The 20,689-nt window shown below is 50.9% G+C and overlaps 1 protein-coding gene and 1 long non-coding RNA gene across 21 annotated transcripts in view; one reads left to right on the top strand and one right to left on the bottom strand.

Moving 5' to 3' along the window:
* The window catches only part of SHANK2 (SH3 and multiple ankyrin repeat domains 2), a 785,381-nt gene that overhangs the window by 383,514 nt on the left and 381,178 nt on the right, over window positions 1-20,689 (top strand). The window lies entirely within an intron of this gene.
* SHANK2-AS3 (SHANK2 antisense RNA 3) lies at window positions 4,606-6,931 on the bottom strand. The gene is made up of 3 exons (NR_073536.1): window positions 6,854-6,931; window positions 6,160-6,436; window positions 4,606-5,933 (listed from the first exon to the last, which is right to left on the bottom strand). It is a non-coding gene; the product is annotated as an SHANK2 antisense RNA 3 (long non-coding RNA).

Here is a 20,689-nt window from a genome sequence, read left to right as displayed (position 1 = left end):
GACATGCCAAGATGACACGGTGGTCACCGAGCCCAGGGTGCCCAACCCAAGGAAGTATCTGCTGGTTATCAGGTTTCTAGCCCAGGACACAGAGCAGACAGAGTGCTGTGGACGGTCAGGAGCTCCATACCCGAGCCTGGCTTGGTGGAGAGGCCATAGGCAGCAAGGTGGGACAGACAGCCTGCCATGAACCAACTGGTCTGCACAACTTTGCCGTGAAATATGAAAGCCTCCTACAGCACAGGCTGAGATTGGAAGCATTAATCACTCTGGTATGGGATGTGTGGAGTTCTGTTGGTCCCAGTGGGTTTAATAACGTGCCGATCGGTGCATCCCAAGCATTCTGTGGCCTGTGGACCGATACATTGTCCTCCCTCTGAAACCTGCTGGTCTGGAGGCCTCTAGGACAGATTGTCGGGATCTATGGTGTATGAGTTTGCTCCAGCTGCCGTCATAAAGCACCACAGACAGGGAGGCTTACACAAGTCATTTATCGTCTCACCGTTTTGGAGGCTGGAAGGCTGAGATCAAGGGGTCTCTGGACTGGTTCCTCCGGAGACCTCTCTCCTTGGCTTGTAGACTTTGCCTTCTCCCTGTATCCTCATGGGGTCATCCCTCTGTATGTCTGTGTCCTGATCTCTTCTTGTAAGGACGCCAGTTGGATTGGATTTAGGACCTGCCCCATCTGGCCTCACTTTAATTTAGTTGCCTCTTTAAAGCCCATCTCCCTATACAGTCGCACACATGCTGATATCCTGGGGGTGAAGCCTGCGTCACATGAATTTTGCAGGTGACACAGTTCAGCCTCTAGCACTCAGCGCCCACCTGGATGTGGCTTCTAACTGCAGGACGCCCTCCCCCAACATCCTCTGGACTTTGGCACCCTGGGTGAGAATTGGGCAGGTTTGTGGAAGAGAATGGGTGAGGATGAGGAGGCCGCATGTTGTGTCCAAACAGGGCTTTCCGTGCCAGAGCCCTTTCCCGGATGGGACTTAGGACTGGCCGTGGCAGCTCCAGTGACTGTGCTCCCTGTGTGGGTGGGGCCCTGGGCTGCCCCCGTGGGGTGTGAGGCTGACTGTGTAAGATGTGGACATGGCCCAGCTCAGTCCATAGGCTGAGCCTGGACTCTGGAACCCACCTTCTTGGCTTGTGTCTTGACTCTGCCCTTCACAGGCTGTGTGACTTTGGACAAGTTACTTAACCTCTCTGTGCCACAGTTGCCTCCTCTGTATCACAGGGATAAATAATAGTCAATAGCCTCGTGCCCAGCTAGTAGCAGTGGTGGTAGAGGGACTCTTGACTGTTGTCATTGTTTATTATAGTATTATTTCCATTTTACACATGGAGAAACCGAGGCCTGGGAGTTTATCCAGCTTGACCAGGCTTATCATAGCAGGCACAGGTTATGACCCTGGGGTTGTCCAAGAGCAGATCACACCGCCCCATGTCCGTGGACAGGTGTCCGTATGCCGACCCCCTCAGCCTCTGTGTCTATGCGACCCACCTTCTTCACCTGCACCCTCTGGGCCAAGCCATTGAAAGTGAGAACGAGGGAGTCTTCCTCGAGAAAAGAAACTCTTCATTAGGCTTCATATTTGTGTCTTCAATTATGCTGTCAAATGCTAAGGAGTTTAGACACTTACTGCCAGCGCCGGGCCCTTGGTGACGGCGTACATTATTTGCATAATCAGCACGGGTGGACCCGCTGGTAATTCCACCCAATTATTTGCCCAGAATTGACACTGATCAATTTAGAGGGAGGCACAGTCAGTGATGGAATTAAGTGGTAGCAAACACACTGTCAGTACATGAAGTCCAGACAGAGGCAAACAGCCCAGAGATGGATGGGCGGGAGGCGGGGGCCGGCCGGTGCAGGAGCAGTGGAGGCGGTGGACCTGGGTCCTGTGTGCTGAACGCTGAAATGCTTCCTTGGAAACTTCACAGAGAGTCCTAGGCAATAAAGGTCAGCAGTGGAATATTGTCACAGAATAATGACTCTGTGCCGCTGGGTAAATGTTAAAGCTTTTATTGGGGTGAGACGTGGATGTCTGGCTGGCTCTGAATTCAGTGGGTAATGAATACAAATCTATAGCGTCGATTCTCAAGAGGGAACATGGCTGAGCTGACCCCACATTCACGAGCCGGTGGCCTGGGCAGACTTTTCTGGCTGGGGCAGCGAGGTTGTGAAGGCATCCCTGGCTCAGGCAGCTTTGGCCCGTCCTGCCCCACCCCTCAGCCCTCATGCGCATGCCGTACTCCCCAGCAGTGGACATAGCTGTTTGCTGTTAACAGCGGCTCTTGCCTCTCGTCCTCCGTTGGTGGAGTCCTGGCCTGATCCTTGGCCTCCGGACCTGCTCTCGGCCCTGCTGCCCGTGTGGAGCCAAGACGTGTGCACTCTCCTCATTGGTCCTCCCCTGTGTTCAGGATTTACTGAGGACTCGGACAAGAGCGTCCTTCCACCAGCACCCTCCACCTACCCCTACCCGGATAGGAGACAGCTGACCTCAGGATGGCACCTTCGTATTCTAGAACTTGAGAGAGTCAGAGTGGGGATCCACTACCCCAAGGGACCTCATTCTCTCTCTCTTTTTTTTTTTTTTTTTTAAATACACCGAATTGGATTCAAATCCCTCTGGGCTACGAGGTCCTGTTTCCCTTCTGTGCTGTCCATGGTGGTGTCCACGGCATATCATTCGTTTGGCTCCTGGCTTCATGGAATGTCAGCCCCAGGCCTTGTCTGCTGGGGTGAGAGCCACAGCGAGGGAGTGAAGGCAGAGGCTGGTGTGGTTGTTGATCTGTCCTCCTGTGTTACCTAGAGATGCTCTCAAGACCAGCGAGGGCCGTCATGAAGCTCCTGCTGAGTCCATGTGCGGGCAGAGAGTGGCTGCCTCTAGGTCACCCCTTAAGAAATGTTTCCTTAGGGAAATGGGGAGATGAAAATTTGCCGGGTAGACATAGGAAAACTCCAGCAAAAGTGGACCTTTAGAAATCACAAAAATCTCCTATTTGTTGACTTGTGTGTCTCCGGGCCCCTGCGTGAACTGATAAGAAAAGTCATTCCTACTGAGATAGGACTTTAGATTTTATCCTTACTCCTTGTAAATTGCTCTCCTCGGATTCCCAAATGCAAGCTCCGTGAACCCTTGGTGCTAGAGTTACTGACGTCTGCAGCAAAGTGCAATTTTGAGTTTCCGGAACATCAACACAAAAGAACACTTGGACTCCTTCTTTGTAGCCAAATGTTAGGTCTGGGATGTTTCTTGGTCTTATCTGTTCCCTTCTTGTTTCAGCAGCATCTCGTTCTCAGAATCCTAATTAGCCGGGTGTGGCTCTTTTGACCATTTCTCTCAAAAATGAGTCTCGGTTCCCAACTTCCATTTTCTGTGACTAGATCCCTCCCAAATGGTTCCCCCCATTTGGTGCCGCGGGGTGCGATGGGCTGTGGCTCCTCTGAGCTGCACTCTCTGCCCCTGCCTTCTGATGGCAGGGGAGCCACTCGGTGGTGCTGTCTGGATGGAGCCTAAGTCTCACCAGGAGGGTGTAGACTGCAGCAGACCGCTCCCTGGTGGCCTGGGGGTGAGAGTCTAATCCAGAAAGTGGAGACCACCCTAGGCCTTTCCGACAGAGGCATCTGCGCGCGGAATTGGTGACCAAGATGCTGGACAGGCCATGGACCCTGGAGAACAGCCAGGCAGCCCCCCACTAAGAAACTGCAGAAAGCACCAGGGAGGAGAGGGCCCAGGGGAGCAGTGCCCGAGGGTGGGACTGCCAGGGAGGGGCCACGACCCAAGAAAGCCAGGTATTTGAAGTTGAGGAAGGGCAGCACTGTGGGCATATTCCTTGATGCTTGGGTAGAGCAGTACCTAGCACAAGGCAGGTGCTTGGTTTCTGCAGGGTGAGTGAAGGAATTAGTGAGTGAGTGAATGAATGAATGAATCTATCTATCTGAGGCTCATTTTGAGAGACAGGATCTGATTCAATGCTGGAAGAAGAACACACTTCTTGTCCAGCTACATCAGAAGGCGGTGCGAGGCAGTGTCCTGTGGCTCCTTGCTAGCAGACTCAAGAGCAATTTTGGAGATGGATGCTTGTGGCCCCACCCTCTGCTGCTGAGCCTGCCCGGCCACCCCACCCCACCCTGAGGCACACCTCCATCCAATGGGCGGTTGGGGAATGAGGCACGCGCAGCTGCATCTCAGCCTGGCCATTCCGGCACCTGACTTCTGCACTTTCTCAGACACCCCCCGCGTGCCCTTACTCGTGGTGAATTCAGCCTCCTGGGCCCATTGTATTCTTCTCCTTGTCCCTTCAGAATAGTATTTCCCTGCTCCTGTGCTCTAGATTCTTTGTGAGGCTAAATTTAGACGTCGCCTAGTTCTGCAGCATCTTTGCTTTTCTCTAGAATGGTTTGTCCAGTGAGAGAAGTCTGCCAGCCAGACCCTAGAAGTTGAGTCTCTCCTTAGAGCCTGTGGTGGGATGCAGGTCTGACTCAAATCCTCTCACGGGTATCATAAGGACCCCTTGAACCCCACTCCATGGGATCTCCAAGGAGGAAGGTCTTAGCCCGCTCAGGCCACTGCAGCAAAGTACCATGAACTAGATGGCTCGTAAAAAATACATATTTATTTCTCACCATTCTGGAGGCTAGAAGTCTGAAACCAGGGTACCAGAGAACTCTCTAGGGCCCCTTTTTCTTTAAGACACTCTCACTCCGTTTTCCAGGCTGGAGTGCAGTGGTGCAATCATGGCTCACTGCAGCCTCAAACTCCTGGGCTCAAGCCATCCTCCCACCTCAGCCTCCCAAGTAGCTGGGACTACAGGTGTGCACCACCATACCTGGCTAATTTTTGTATTTTCTGTATAGATGGGGTCTTGCCATGTTGCCCAGGCTGGTCTCAAACTTGTGGCCTCAAGGGATCCTCCCACCTCAGCCTCCCAAAGCACTGGGATTGCAGGTTCACACCACCATATCCAGGTCCTGGGGGTCCCTTTTATAAGGACATTAATCCTATTTATGAAGGTTCTACACTTATGACTTGCTTACCTCCCAAAGACCCCACCTCATAAAACCATCACGTTGGGAGTTAGGACTTCAACATATGAATTTGGGGGGTTGGCACAAACGTTTGGTTCATTACAAGAATAGAGGCCTTCCCCCAATACGGCTGCTTTTACCTGGAGAATCCTCCAAGTCACAAGGTGACCTTGTGCAGGGCACTTCTCATCTTCGAGCCTCTGTTTCCTCTCTGACAGTGGGGGACCTGGGCTGACATTGGCTGGAGCCACCATGACTTAATGGGGAAGTCCCCGCGGCCCTGGGACTCATCTGAGGTCATTAAGCACTGTCAGGGTCACCTGTCCGAAGCTGGATTTTTCCTAAACTTCATTTGCTTTTCTCTCCTTTCTTTTGCCCTGGATACTCTCATCTCCCTCAATTTTTCTTTCCTTTTTCCCTTCTCACTACCCACCTCCAATTTCAAAATGTGCAAATAGCAGAGCATCCCAGTGGAGTTGCCACGGCAACAGAAGCTGGTTTTCCCTTTCCAAATGATGGGCCCCTTGGAAGCCTCTCTCCCCTTTGCCTCCTTGGTGACCAGAGCTCAAGGAAGAAAGCAAGGTGTGTGGGCACCCCGAACTGGAGGGTCCCTTTCTTGTGCTTGCAAGGTGCCCAGGTCGTAGAGACTGAGGGGCCAGGACAGGGGAGGCCATGGAGCCAGTTTTTGTTTGCTGGGGCTGCCATAAGAAAGTATCAAAAACTGGGTGGTTTTATCAGAAACATTCTCTCACCGTTGTGGGGGCGGACGCCTGTGATTAGGGTGTCCCAGGGCTGGTTTCTCCTGAGGCCTCTCCTCCTGGCTTGCAGGTGGCTGTCGTCATCCTCACTCGGTTTCTTCCTGTCTGTCCAGGTTTCCTCTTCTTACAACACACCTCTCCTGTTGGATGAGGACCTACCTGAGTGACTCCACTTTAAAGACTCTCTGTAGCTGTAAAGATCTCATCTCCAAATAAAGAGGCCGAAACGGGGTGCCAGTGCCTCTTCCCCATACCCCCAGCCCAGGATGCCAGAGAGAGTGGACCAGATGTTGACTGAAAGGAGGCACCAGGCCTAGCAAAGCTCCGTTTGCACCAGCCTGAGTTATTTTAGACTCTAAATTGTACCTTCACTGGGATCCAGAGTTAAAATGAGGATTTGCATGGGAGCAGGTGGGCGAGTCCTAGAGATAAGGAAAACCCCCCACAGAATCCGTGTCTTCCACCACATAGCCGTGGCCAGGAGTTCACAGGCGTCCCAGGGCACCGAGCAGAGGATGCTTGGGGCTCGTCCAGACAGGGCCAGCACTGGATGAACCAGGATGAGGTCGGGCTGTGTTCGGGGAGCCGGCATCTGGGCACTGGGCAGTTGTGCCATCAGCTCAGGTTCTGGTGCTTAGATCAGCTGAAACAGAGACAGCCATGTCATGGGGAGAGGTGTCACCTCATGGAGCCCACACCAGTGGGCCACTCAACCCAGGCCAACCCCTCCTGACCAGGGACCTCTCTCACCTGCTGTCTGGCCTACAAATTATTTTTGAGATTTGTCCCTGGAATGTGACAGTGTTCACGGTTTCTCTAGACCTACCCAGGTATAAAAACCCCTTGATCCCTGCCATCTAAGATGGATGCTACCCCTGCTCCGTAAGTCCTGCGGAGCAGCCTCTGCCCTGCCCACCAGCTCACACCTTTTAGCCCATGTCCCTGAGTCCCTGAATCACTGAGGTAAGGCGGCTTGTCTCCTGCTGAGACCAAGAGCCCCAAGACGGGCACTTCAGCAAAATCAGCCCCACACCCATGTCTCCTCCTCCCAAATTCTTACCTCCAGTTTACTAGACTCTAGACTGTGTCCTGCTGCCCAGTTGACTACTCCCGTGGGGGAATCCCAAAGGATCCAAAATGTGCAATGTGTCCAAAACCAAGCTCCCCACCCCCACCCCAAGCACATAGATTTCCCTCTTTGTTCATGATCCACTCAAGCCGGAAGCCTGAGTATCATCCACAGTCCTGTCCATCAGCCAGTCCAGTCTATCAGCCAGTCCAGTCCATCAGCCAGTCCAGTCCAGTCCATCAGCCAGTCCAGTCCATCAGCAGTCCAGTCCATCAGCCCGTCCAGTCCATCAGCCAGTCCAGTCATGTCCATCAGCCAGTCCAGTCTATCAGCCAGTCCAGTCCATCAGCCAGTCTAGTCCTGTCCATCAGCCAGTCCAGTCCAGGCTCCAAATACCAACTGACGTATTGCACTTCTTTCCATTTCCATTGTCTCTACTCAAGCCCATTCCAGAGACTACACAGACCAGTGTAGTAGCTTCCCAGCCAGGCTCCACATTCTACTCCTTTCACCTACAACCCAGTCTCCACCCCAGGAGCTCGAAGAGGGATCTTTCAACAAAGACCATAAATCAGATTGTGTCACACACCCTCCCCCTGAGACACTTAATCGCAGCAGGTTTGCAGCAGGAATCTGGATGAACTGGGATGAGGTCAGGCTGTGTTCGGGGAGCTGGCACCTGGGCACTGGGCAGGTGTGCCATCAGTTCAGTGTCTGGTGCTTAGATCAGCTGAAACAGAGACAGCCGCATCGTGGGGAGAGGTGTCACCTCATGGAGTCCATCCAGGTTGGGCTCCACACCAGATTCCCCCTGGCCTGGGAGACCCAGTGCGACAGGATCCTTCCCAGGTTTTCACTTTTTTTTTTTTGCCCCTGCCCCCTGCTCTCTGCATTTTGGCTGCACCTGTGTCCCACTATTCCGAGACCACCCTATCCAAATTGGGCTCTGCTCCTCTTCTAACTGATCACATCTCTGCTTTGTTCTTTTGGTTCTCCTCCCAGTTGGATCACTCATTTATTCCTGTGCTTATTTATTGTCTAGCTCTGAGCTCCCTGAGGTCTGGCTTATTCCCTGCCTTTCTTTTGTGGCCTGAGGTCAGCATCTGCTGGGATTGTCTCAAGGCACAAACCCTGCAGCCTGCAGAGGCAACTGTAGGTTGCTATATTTGCACCTGCCCAGAGGAGTCAAAGAAACAAACCCCAGGCCCTGAGCTACAGAGTTAACTGGCTCGTAGAGGAGGCCAACTCAGTGCAATTAACTCTGACATGGATGTTTGCATGGTTTAAAAAAAAAATTAACCCAAAAAGACTGCTTTATACCAAATAAGACTTTTGATGGGAATTTTGATGGAAATCATGTTTTGATGCAAGTTCAGGTGCAGGTAGGGCTGGGGATTTTTTGTCAGAACACACAATAATTCTGCCTCTTATTTTAGAGCTTGTATTTCAATGCCATGTGGTGTAGGAAAACATAAATTTTCATCTTAATACACTTTTGAGGCATCAGAGCCATTACAGACCTTGTTTTATAGTGTTTTAAAAGCATTAGTCCTTCACGACCCATTTTTAAGAGGACAGACTGGAGGAGCAAAACCATTACTAGGTGTGGGACTCATTTATTTTCACATGGAAACAGAGGCATAATAGTAGGTCTTGCTGTTAAACATGACCTTCCAACTGCAGGGTTAAAACCCTCAGGGAAGTGGCAGGATTTACTAACCTGGGCCTGATTAAAATGCCTGTTGGTGGCTGCCAGCTTGGACTGACAGTGCCTGCAGAGGGGGCAGGTCGGAATGCTTCCCTCCCACAAGGGGGCCCGGAAAGGCCAGCGCTGCTCCCCGTGTGCCCAGCAGGTCGAGGGATGTCCTTTCCCTGGCTCCTGGGAAGAGAGTATCCCCTGAGATGCACGCGGCTCCTGCAGAAAGAATTTGGAATGAAGGGGCTTTGTGGTATGATTCACATACACATTTTCTTTTATTTCTTTTTTGTTTGTTTGTTTAAATAGAGATGGGATTTTGCCATGTTGCCCAGGTTGGTCTTGAACACCTGGTCCTGGGCCCAAGTGATCCTCCCACCTCAGCCTTCCAAAGTGCAGGGACTACAGGCATGAGCCATCGCGCCAGGCCCCTTGCGTGTATTTCTAAAACTATAAATGCATGCTCGCATTTCATTTTATACTTTTATGACTTTGAGAGGTCAAAGGACAAGTATTCATCCATTTTCTTCAAGTGAGAGAGTAAGGGAGAAATGCTTAATCATTTGTCCTCGTTCATTCACCCAACTGGTAGAAAAGCAAGACTGAGTCCCAGTCCCTGGGGACCTCGCAGTCTCCCACTGCACACATCGGGATTGAAGATGGACAGACGAAATACACACTCTGTTGGTCTAATTCTTATTCCCTTATTCCTTCCTGCATTCCACAGACAATTTCCACCTTCAAAACGTTCTTTCTTGGGGTTACATAAAGAGACCCGTCACCTTAATGGGTGATGGGAGAGATCTGATGGGCAGGTGTGCACGAGGATAACATGGCCTAAGGGGACATTCAGGCTGATGAGAGTCTGGGGGTGCCAAGTACAGAGCTGAGAAAATCCCCCGCACCCAAGTAACTCATAGCCATGGGGCTTTGGGGCGGGTAGAGAAGGTTTGACCAGGTGTGATAGGGTATGGAGGTGGCGGGATCAGGTGGGCTGTGTTCACCTTGGTCTGGAGCAAAGAGGCTTCTGAGAGAAAGGGACTCCTACCATGTGAAGGGAGCAAGGGACAGGGTCGGATGTTGGGGGAGGTTGGAGGTGGGGATGTTTGCTCCGCAGGGAGGGAGATAGTCGGGGTTCTTTGAGGAACACACGAGGATGACTGCCAAGCCTGGGCGCTGTGGGGTTGTTGCCAAAGCTGAATTTAGAAGTCATTGGCATCCCATTGATCAATCCCAACTGTGAGCTGGACCCCGGGTCATGGTTTCTGACTGTCCCTGGAGGTGCGGTGCTCCAGAGTCTGGTCATCTGTCCTCGTGTTTAGCCCTGATAGGGAAAGAGGGCTTAGTGCATCTCTTCAGCTATGCTGGACACCAGCCTCGAGGGTAGAACCAATCTGTGGGTAACAAGCTTCCTGGCATGTTTTCTCACTTCGTGGAGGTCAAACCACATTCAAGGGCAGGGACTTGACCCTGTTTTGCCACTTGCTGGTTCTGTGTCTTCAGTTTCTCAGCTTCTCTGAAGAAGTTTCTCTGACTCAGTTGTATAGGTGATGATATCTACCTATGATGTCATTCATCCACTTTTCTGACTAGTCCATCCATCCCCACCTATCTACCTATCACCCATTCATCCATCCACTCACCCATCCATCCTACCCATCTTTCCATGCATCCATTCACCTGCCTACCCACTTCATCCATTTGTCCATCCATCCATCCACCCACACGCTTATCCATCTATCGATCCATCTGTCCACCCACCCATCTACCCATCTTTCCGTCCACCTACTCGCTTGCCTACCAACTTCTCCATTCATCCATCCATTCATCAGTCCATTCATCTATCCCTCCACTCACCTACCCATCCATCTGCCCATCTGTATATCCATTTATTCATTCATCCACTATCCATCTACTTATCTACACATCTATTCACCCACTTGCCTACTTACCCTCATCCACCCATCCATCCAGACATCTGTTCATCTCTCTATTATCTATACATTCATTCTGTCCATCCAATTCATCCACCGACCTATCCATTTATCTACTCACCCACCCACCATTCTGTTTATCCACTCACCTCTCCATTCATCTACCCACCCATCCAGAGCAGTGCTGTATGTAAACATTTTATGACTCTAGGCCCAACACCAGTGCTCCAGTGTGGAAAGGACAGCATGAGACTCAGGGCAAGGTGGACTGCCCAGTAGTAAAAACAAAGTGCTCAGGAATGCCTTTGGGAGGGACGAGCATGTACAGGTGTGTGGACAGCACATTCCTGAAAACAGCTTTGGCCAAGACCCTGCAGTAGGAAAGAACTTGCTTGGGTTCTCCCAGATGCCAGGGATAACCAGATGGAGGTGTGAGTGGGAGGTGCATAGTCCAGGAGAAGAGGTAGTAAAGTTAGGCTGGAGATAGGAGCCAAGTCCCTTGAGCCTCATGTTCTAAATCAGGGGTCTGGGTTCTGTTCTAAATGGGGAGAACCTTTAAGGAGTTTTAACAAAGAAGTTTCCATGATTGCTGTTGTTAAGAAGAATCCTTTGGCTGTTGTGTGGATAACTGTCTTTAGCAAGGAAGGAAGCAGGGCTCACACTGGAAGGCTGCTGCCATGTCCATGGGATACTCAGCCATGGGCATGAGACTGGAGAGCCATGGTCAGGTTGGAATCTGCCTTGCTGCTAGGTGTTGGGTGTGCAGGTCATGCCTGGGTTTCCAGTCTAGCCCACTGAGTGGATGGCAAAGACTACAGGAGGCCATGGGCTTTTGCATGGCACACTGCCATGCCTGCAGCTTCAGACATGGGTATCACATGCACCCTGCCTACCTGACATGGCCATGGCTAAGAGAAGAGCAACCTGGCCGCACAGCGCAATACAAATTTAGTGGCAGTTGCTGCTGTTATTTTATATGAACATGGCAGTGAATTTTGATGACTTCATTTAAAATGGATTATGAACAGGGGACAGGAAGCAGATGCTCTGGGGTGGTTTCGCAGCAGCACTCGGCTCCTTCTTGACAGAGCACAGGCTGGGTACAACCCTCACCCTAAATTTAGCTCCTGGCACATTTGGGCTGGGATGAAAGCTGAGAAGCACAGGTCATGGGTGTGCTATGATCTGAATAATTCCCTCTCCAAATGGTGTCTTGCAACTTGCCACAGGCCCAGATAATCCATCATGCTACAGTACAAGGATTCCAAGGTGGGGTGGGTGGAGGCTGCAGTGAAGCACCCACACACTAGGTCAGATGTAGCCCCATCCTGGGTCTCAGCATCTTGAGAGGATGTGTGTGAGCCGTGGAACATGGTGTGTGACTCATGGAAGTGCCCCATCGCTGTGATCTGCTGTTACCACCATTTTTGGCCTTCAAGGGTCATTGTGTCTTCGTGATGTCATGTGCTAAGGCTGCCGTCAGTTCTTCCTAGAGAGTTGCAAGTCTTGTGGGCTTAGATCTCCCCTTGTGCTCCGTGATGCCCCTAATAGCAAGAGGTGGGCCATCACGTCAACTAAAGTGCTGAGGATGATGGGGTGGGCAGCAGAACCCGTATGTCAACTGCTTGTGCTCTCTTGGGCACTGCCCAAGGGCTTGGCCCTCCCAAGTCCTGAGAAAGGCACCAAGGTCTTTATCAGGAAGTGAGGCCACTTGAGGAAAAGGAAATAGGATATCCAAGACCCAGCAGTCATCTGTTGGGCACATGACTGAGCCCTGTGCTAGGGAAGGCCAGAGTCAGCCTGGGAGGGCTTAGCCTCCAGGTTGCTTGTGGCTAGGTTGAGAACGCTTTGCTTAGGAGCAGGTGTTTGAAAAGCGGGTCACCGTACATTGAGTATTTACTGGGTGCTAAGTCCTGTGCATTATCCAATTTGATTCCTAAAACAACCCTTTGTGGGTGCTACTTGCATTATTCCCATTTTGTAGGTTGGGAGCTGAGGCCCGCTTACTTGTCCAGTGTCAGTCATCCTGTGGCCCGATTGGGCTCTCAGGCTCCAGCCCTTGGAGTCCACTGAAGTTTATGCAAAGCATGGAAACCAGCTATTGAGACTGCCTCCTGGCTGCTGGGGCCATCGTCAGGGAAATGTTTGCTTAATCCCTCTTGCAGGAACATTTGCACGCAGAGGCAGGCTGTTGCAGAGAGCATAAGTTAGCAGGAAGAGATGTAAGTCCAAAACAGGTATCACCAACCCTGTCAGACTAAGGATAGAGACGAGGTAGACAGAAGTTAAGGAAGGGCCAGCCAGGGGTGTCCATCTGGTGTGTATCCAGAGTTTCAAATGATGCTTGGGGCTGGGAAGAGCAGGGAGAACCACACTGGGCAAAGAGTCCTGGGCACAGATTGGCAGATGTTTGAATTCCAGCTGTCCCACCTGCTTATTGAGTGGGACTCTGTGTAAGATCCTTGAAATTCTCTGATTCAATAAAGCAGGAATCAGATGCCTCCCTCATAAGGCTGTTGGTGTTTTTAATGAAATAATGTATCAAACATGGTTTAAACTCACACCCCCTAGAGGCAAGGAAATATAATAGATGGGCAAAACAGTCCAAGAGGGGAAGGTTGCCTTTATATATACAACTAATATATCTATCTACCCTCCCATTCATTCATCCAGCCACCTACCACCCAACCTCCCATCCTCCCATCCATCCATCCATCCATCCATCCACTCATTATCCATTCACCCACCCACCTATCTGCTCACCCATTCATCCATCCAAATATCCATCTGTTAATTTATCCATCCATCCATCTACCCATTCATCCATTTATTCATCTATTCCTTCCTCCAGTCAATTATCCATCTATCTGTCCATCCATTCATCTATGCGCCCACCTAACCACCCATCTGCCCATCCAGTCACCCATCCATTCATCTGTGCATTCACTTGCCCACTTATTCACTCACCCATCCACCCATCCATCCATCTGTCCATTTATTCATCCATTCATTCATCCATCTACCCATTCATTCATCTATTCATTCATCCATCCATCCCATCACCTATCCATTCATCCATCCATCCACCCATCCATCCACTCATTGAACCACCCATTCACCCATCCTCCCACCACCCACCCACTCATCTATCCATTTACCCACCCACCCATTCACTCACCTGTTCATTTATCCATCCATCCATCAATTTATTCATCTGTCTTTCCATCCATCCATCTATCCATTCATCTATTCATCTATCCATTTCTTCATTCAGCCATCCATCCTTCCATCTCTCTATCCATGCATTCATCCATCTCTTTATCCATTCATTCATCCATCTATCCATTCATTAGTGTTTCTGCTCATTCACTTATCTATTTATCCATTCATTTATCCACCCACCCATCCATCCATTCATCCAACAATCCATGCAGTTACCCATCCTGCCATCGATTTAACTCCTTCCTTTCTTCCCACCTTTCTTTTTTCTTTCCTTCCTCTCTTCTGTTCATCTTACATTTTTTGTGAGCTTACCACATGCCAGGCCCTGTGCCATGGAAGGCAGCTTCTCTGCCCTCAGGGTCTGCTGGTTTAGCGTTACCTCTTGTGAAGTTGGAGACCAGGATTTGAATGTAGGAATTCCTATTCCTTCACTTTTGTTCTAACCATGGGAGCTGTTGAAGATTTTTAAAGCAGATGCCCTGGTCAGAGCTATAACATTGGGGTTCAAGAATCAGGAAGGGGAAGCTGGCTAAAGGGGGACCTGCCTGGAGGTTGTTGGAAGAGCTGATAGGATCAGATCTGAGCAAGGGGTTGGGGGAGCAAAGAGGAGGGATCTGAAACCTTCTGTGACTGAGTTGGGCCAGACTGATGGGCAATTTGCCCAGAACCCAACATTCTAGATATGGGAAGCTTCCAGAAACCTGGCTTACTCCTCACCTGCTAGAATGTCTGTCCTGTAGGGCTTAGAATACCTTGCTAATTTCCTCTGAGCTTGTTCATCATGTGACCAAATTGGATGAGGGAGGAGAACGTGCAGGGAAGCTGTTTTAATTATCCCTCATCATGAAGTCATTGAGGGGCAGCCGAGCCTGCTGTGCAAACAGCCAGAGCCACTGGGCCATATGCTGGCATCTAGCCAAATGGCTGTCCCTTCTTATTAGCAGGTCACTGAGAGTGTCCAGATTTTCAGGACTACGGGCCGGGCCCAGACCTCCTAGATTGATGGACAGTCATGAACATCTGGGGGTGGGTTTCTGATAGTCGTGGGTGAACCGTGATCTGGATTTCTGCAAAAACAAAAAGTACAGCTCTTGCTGTTCACTCCCTGCGTGCAACACAGGTGTAGTAGGGAGACCAGTGCCTAGTCCCTGCTCTGTGGTGGACAGAGGGCTTGTCCAGGACCCCAGAGGCCATGGGGCAGTGTACTCACACCCCAGCAGCTTTGCCCCCTGTGGTGCCTGCTTCCAGCTGTGGGTGTTTCTCCCTGGGCTCCCCATTGAGAACAGAGAGGGACATTTCACTGGCCTTCATGTGCTTGTCAGCTTTGGCGGGACCTTTCACTGTGTGGGCCTGCATCCATCTTCCATTTGGGCCACTTCTGCATCTCCTTCCCCAGAAGGCCCTTCCTTGCCTGTGCCTGGATGGAAAGCACGTGTTTCACCCTCTGGACCTTGGTCCCTCTCCCTCAATCCAGCCATGCATGCGCTCAGTTGGATTTCAAGCTACAGGGCTGAATGTGGGCCACTGGGGGTGGAATCTGAGGCACCTGCTCACTTCACTTTCCTGTTGCTCAAGCTCTCAACTTTGTTGGCTGGGCTGAGTGCTAGTAACAGCACTAGCCACAGTTACAAGGCACTGGGTTTCTTGGGCCATGAGCCAGCAGCCTTCTCTCTGCTGGACTCACTAGATTCGATCTCAGCATTTTTAGCATTGGTAACTTTCCTACTCATGACAGTCAACAAGGACCTTTGAGATCTCAAGTAATTTTTTCTTAATCAAAAATATACTATTATTTATTTGCCTCTGAATAGAGAGGTAATATGTGGTCTTCGTAGAAATTACACAAAAGCAAGGGGTAAATGCGTGTACATATGAAAATCATCCAAACCTTCTTCTCCCCCACTCCCCAAGTGAATCACTGTTAACACTGCAGGGTCTTTCTTCTGGGTCAAATAATGTCCCCTCAATTTCATGTCCAACTTGAACCTCAGAATGTGACCTTATTTAGAAATAGCGTCTTTGTGGGTTTAATTGGTTTGGTTAACATGAGGTCATGCTGTATTAGTATGACCAATGGCTGATGTCTTTATAAGAAGAAGGAGGGGGGATTCAGACACAGGAACCCACTGAAGCACACCAAGAGAGGAAGGCCACACACAGACGAAGGCAGAGAATGGAGTGGAAGAGGCAGGGAGGGTCCTCTCCTAGAGGCCCTGGAGGGAGGAAGTGCTGCCACAGCCCTAATTTTGGACTCTTGGCCTCTAAGATTGTGAGAGAATGAATTTCTGTTGTCTGAAGTCACCCATTGTGTATTAAGCGGTCACGGCAGCTCCAGGAACATGGGACGCATCCTGTATTTTCACTCTGTCTCCCTCCCGTTACTGAGAGTGGAGGCAGATGCCCAGGAAGCATCCTACACACATCACACGCTCCGGGCTGGTGGAGCTGTTGGGAGGAGACATTTGCCTTTGCCCTGCCTGCTGAGAGGCATCCCCCCTGGCCATAAAGAGACTGAGAAAGACGCTTAAGGCTGCACCCAGAACTGAGCACCAGTCCGCTTCAAACCTCTCTCGGTCACTGGGTGACAATGGCCGACGCACTCAGCCTCACTGCAGCCTCAGGGTCTTGTCTGTCCCCACGGCCGCTGTGACTCACACCCTCTCCCGCACTTGGACTCTCCCAGGAAGCTGTGCTCTGAGCTCCAGGGCCCGTGGGAGGCGCCGGGACGCCTGGTCCAGGTCCACCTGGCTGGAGTTTCCAGTGTCTGCTCCCTAGAAAGAGTCTGGCTCTGTTTCCAGAGCTCACGGAGTGTTGCTCATGTTTCATTTCCCCCAACTTCACTCTCCCCACAGGCTCTAAGGAGCCCAGGAGGACCCTGCCAAGGATTGCTGTCTCCCGTAAACCCAATGCCAGGCACTGAAGGTGTCTCAGCAGGGGGCACCCCAGATGGCCTGTCGAGTGGGCCTGAGGGCTCTGCTTCCCCAGGGCAGGGTTGTGGGGCTCTGCAGAACTTCCCACGTGGCCCACTGGTTCAGGGAACGTTGCCTTCCTCTGGCTGACAGTGATGTGGAGACTCAAGGCCTTGCCAAGGCAACCCCTCCCCTGGCCTCTACCTTGGGCTTCTTCCTAACAGCACAGCCATCCTGGTCGTGGATTGATTGATTGAGACAGAGTCTTGCTTTGTTGCCCAGGCTGGAGTGCAGTGGCATGATCTCGGCTCACCACAACCTCCGCCTCCTGGGTTCAAGCGATTCTCCTGCCTCAACTTCCCAAGTAGCTGGGACTACAGGCATGCACCATCATGCCTGGCTAATTTTTGTATTTTTAGTCAAGACGGGGTTTCACTATGTTGGCCAGGCTGGTCTCGAACTCCTGACCTCGTGATCCGCCCACCTTGGCCTCCCAAAGTGCTGGGATTACAGGCATGAGCCACTGTGCCCAGCCAGTCATGGATCTTGAGGAACACACAGTCCCCCAGAAACCTGGGGACCTTCGTGGAGTGCAGACTGTGGCAGTGTCCTGCTGGAAATGGACAGCCAGCCCGTTCTTCCTGCCCTTCCCCTGCAACCCTCCTGCCCTGGCCTCTGCATCCCACAAACACAACACCCTTTGCAGGCCCCGTGGAGCCCCTGCATGGCCTTCTGAGGAAACTTCTTTCTGAAGGGCTTCTCTGGGATGGCCTTGAAGTTGACTGGGGTTTACGTTCCTCGCTCTCCCAATATTCTTTCTTTAAAGCTTCTAAGCAGGAGCCAGTTTTCTTTGTGGTCTGTACAATCTGGCACTGTGCAAATGCTTTGGAAACAGCAGGATGAGGAGCTATATGCTCTAACAGGTGGGCCGTGTGTCATGTCTGAGTCCGAGCTCTCTCTCGCCTCTGCAGACCCTGCCCACGCTCCTCCCCGGCGGCCAGGGGACTCCTGCAGTAGTCCTGCTTCCCTGGGCACAGAGTGGCCCAGAAGGTCTTGGTTTTAAAAGGGACTGTGTTTTATTTTCACGGCTTTCAGGAGTAGGTGGGAATGGGAACAGACTGCCTGGCAGAGTTTCATGGGGCAGTGATTCTTATTAATTGATCACATTCTATCACAGTCGTTTATGAGTCTGCCTCACTTTACCAGCCTGGGGGCCGGGAGGCTCTGACTTTTGCATCCACTCAGGATGATTAGCAAGAGTTTGAACCTCCACGCATGGTCCAACTGGACCCCAAGCTCTGGGTCCTTAATAACGATGCTACTGCTCTCTCAAGTATTTCTAAATTGGCATTGCTAGCCTCTAATAGTCATGGTGAGATTTGGCTGTGAGTAACTAAAAATCCTAAGTTTTTTAAAAAGTTTGTCTTTTCCATAAAAGTCCAGCTAGGTGGTCCATAACTGAGGCAGGGTTCTGTGGTGTCTGAGACGCATGTTCTTCTGACTTACTGCTTCATCATGTGTGGACTCCGTGCTCAATTGCCCTCATAGTCCAAGGCGGCTGCCTCACCTCCACCCATTACATCATCATTCCAATCAGCAGAAAGGAGAAAGGGGCAGGAGAAAGGCATTATTCCCTTTTCCTATAAGGACACTTTCCTTAAGTGGACCTGTTTCTTTTATTTATGTCCCAGTGGTCAGGATCTTATCACACAGCTCCCTTCTTAAGTGGACAGCCATGTTCTTAAACCTTCTTCTTTGTGGACAGCCAGGTGACCAGATGAAGGGCCAGGTTACATTTCAGAGGAAGACAGGAGAACAGGAAGTGGGGGACAATTAGGAGCCCCAGCTACAACAGCCCTTTCTTGTGCCTTTGTTGGGGAGAAGATCTTTTCTGAAGGAAAGTCTGTTCTTGTTCTGCAAGGCTCTGGTATTTGGATCTGAGAGTTAAGGGCTCCATGAAGTGGAAAGTCCAGAGAGTAGGGAGGGATCCTGGAGAGGATTCAGGAATTCTCACCAGGGACTGACAGTCCCTACAGGGCTGGGTCCCAGCCTTCCTGTGAGAGCCACAGCCACTGTTAATGGGTCACCTTGGGGTACGGATGCTCCAAATTTGTGTTGGCTCACTCTACCCCTGCAGCAAGCATGAAGAGTGGCCGTGAGCCCATTTTAAAAGTGGAAAATGTGTGGCTTGGAGGGCGAAGGGGTTGTCAGGGCTGCAGAGCCCAGCAGCACAATTGTCAGGACTCTCGGGTACTTGTTTCAGCTGGTCTGGACTCAGGGACCCCTGCCCAAAGCTGAGATCAGGAGCTGCCTTGTGAGGTCACCTTTCCCAGCTTCTCCCCATTCGCCAGCAGTCTGATGGGATTCAGAACTGACTAGAAGGTCCGGGTGCCTCAGAGTCATAAGTTACTCTCCCCAGGAGCCCACGGGAGCTGCAGGCACAGTGACTCGAGGCCCAAGCCCCCACTACACTTAGATCTTGGAATTTGGGAGAGAGCTCAGCTCGGGCGTGCATGGTGAGGACACGTGGCTCTTGGCAGAGGGGAGGCTGAGGATCCATCCTTGGTATGGTTTCTACACACTGTCCCAGAGAGTTCCTCACAGGTGCTTTAGGGACTGTCTGATGGGCAGGAGGGAGAGCTGGTAAACCACACCACCCTGGCCCCCAGTGAGTATGAGCATCTCATTTGGGTAAAGTGAGCCAGTTGCTTGAAAAAATGCATCAAAAACCACTGCTTCTCTGGCCTTGGGGGCAGGAGGTATAACACCTGGGGTGGAAGCTTGGAGACAGACATCTCTAGGTTCAAGTTTCAGGTGCAGCTGTGTGATCTTGGACATGTTGTTTGGCTTCTCTGATCCCATCTGGTCACCTGAGTACTGACCGCTGACACTGTTGTGAAGATTGAAGGAGAACCGTAGGAGGTTGTGATACAGGCTACAACATGGAGAGACCTTGAGGGCACTGTGCTGAGTGAAAGAAACTGGTCACTAAAGGATAAATCCTGTACTGGTCTACTCATATGAGGTCCCTAGAGTCGTCAGATTCATAGAAACAGAGGGTAGGATGATGAGGGCCAGGGGCTAGGGGAGAGGGAATAGGGCATGTGTGTTTCATGGGGACAGCATTTTCAGTTTGGGAAGATGAAAAAGTTCTGGAGACAGATGGTGTAATGGTCACCTAACACTGTGAATATACTTGATGTCACTGACCTGTACACTTAAAAATGATGAACATGGTAAATTTTATATGTATTTTGCCATGAGTAAAAACATTTTTTTTAAAAAAAGAGATAACGTAGGGAGATCATGGACCCCAGATCACCATCCAGGAGACTTGATAAATGGCAGCTATTAACAGATTTGACCCAACACTGCTGTTTGCATATTTTTTTTACTGTGGTTTCATTCTTTTGACATAAATGCCCTCATAAGAAAATTCAAAGAGAGGAAGGAGTATGGCTACTGCATGCTAACATGTATATTAGGGTGTTATGTTCTCACACAGTGATCCCTTGTATTTTCATTTGACAAAGGGTAGGCACTTGCCCAGGGTTATGCTCTAGTACAGTTGGCTCTGGGGTCCACCCTGAGCCCAGGCACCCACTTCCTACACTAGCCTGCCACAGCCTGCTGGCCTCCAGTGCAGAGAAGGACTTCCAGGTTCCATGTCCCTGTTCAGCCCCATTTGTGCACCCGTAGACAGAATTCACACAGATGTGATCTAGGGAGAATAGATTGTGGATTGGTGTCTTTTTCTCTACCTCACCTTTTTAGACCAGCCATTGGCATGCATGCATGTGTATACATATTAATATATTGAGATGGGGTCTCACTGTGTTGCCCAGGCTGGTCTCAGATCCCTGGGTTCAAACAATAGCACCTCAGCCTCCTGAGTAGCTGGAATTTCAGGTATGCATCCTCACACCCTGCCTATGGGTGTATGTATCTTGTTGGTAATTGTGCCTTGTGTCCTGGTGGGGAGGGGGTGTGTGCCCCTATGTCTGAACATTCCGGAGTGTGAGGTCCAGGCCGTTTCTACCATTCATATTTTCAGTGGCCCTGCAGC

This window comes from Homo sapiens, chromosome 11, assembly GCF_000001405.40.
Source record: "Homo sapiens chromosome 11, GRCh38.p14 Primary Assembly".
In the NCBI taxonomy this organism is placed as follows: Eukaryota; Metazoa; Chordata; class Mammalia; order Primates; family Hominidae; genus Homo; species Homo sapiens.
This window is presented reverse-complemented; position numbering and strand designations above follow the sequence as displayed.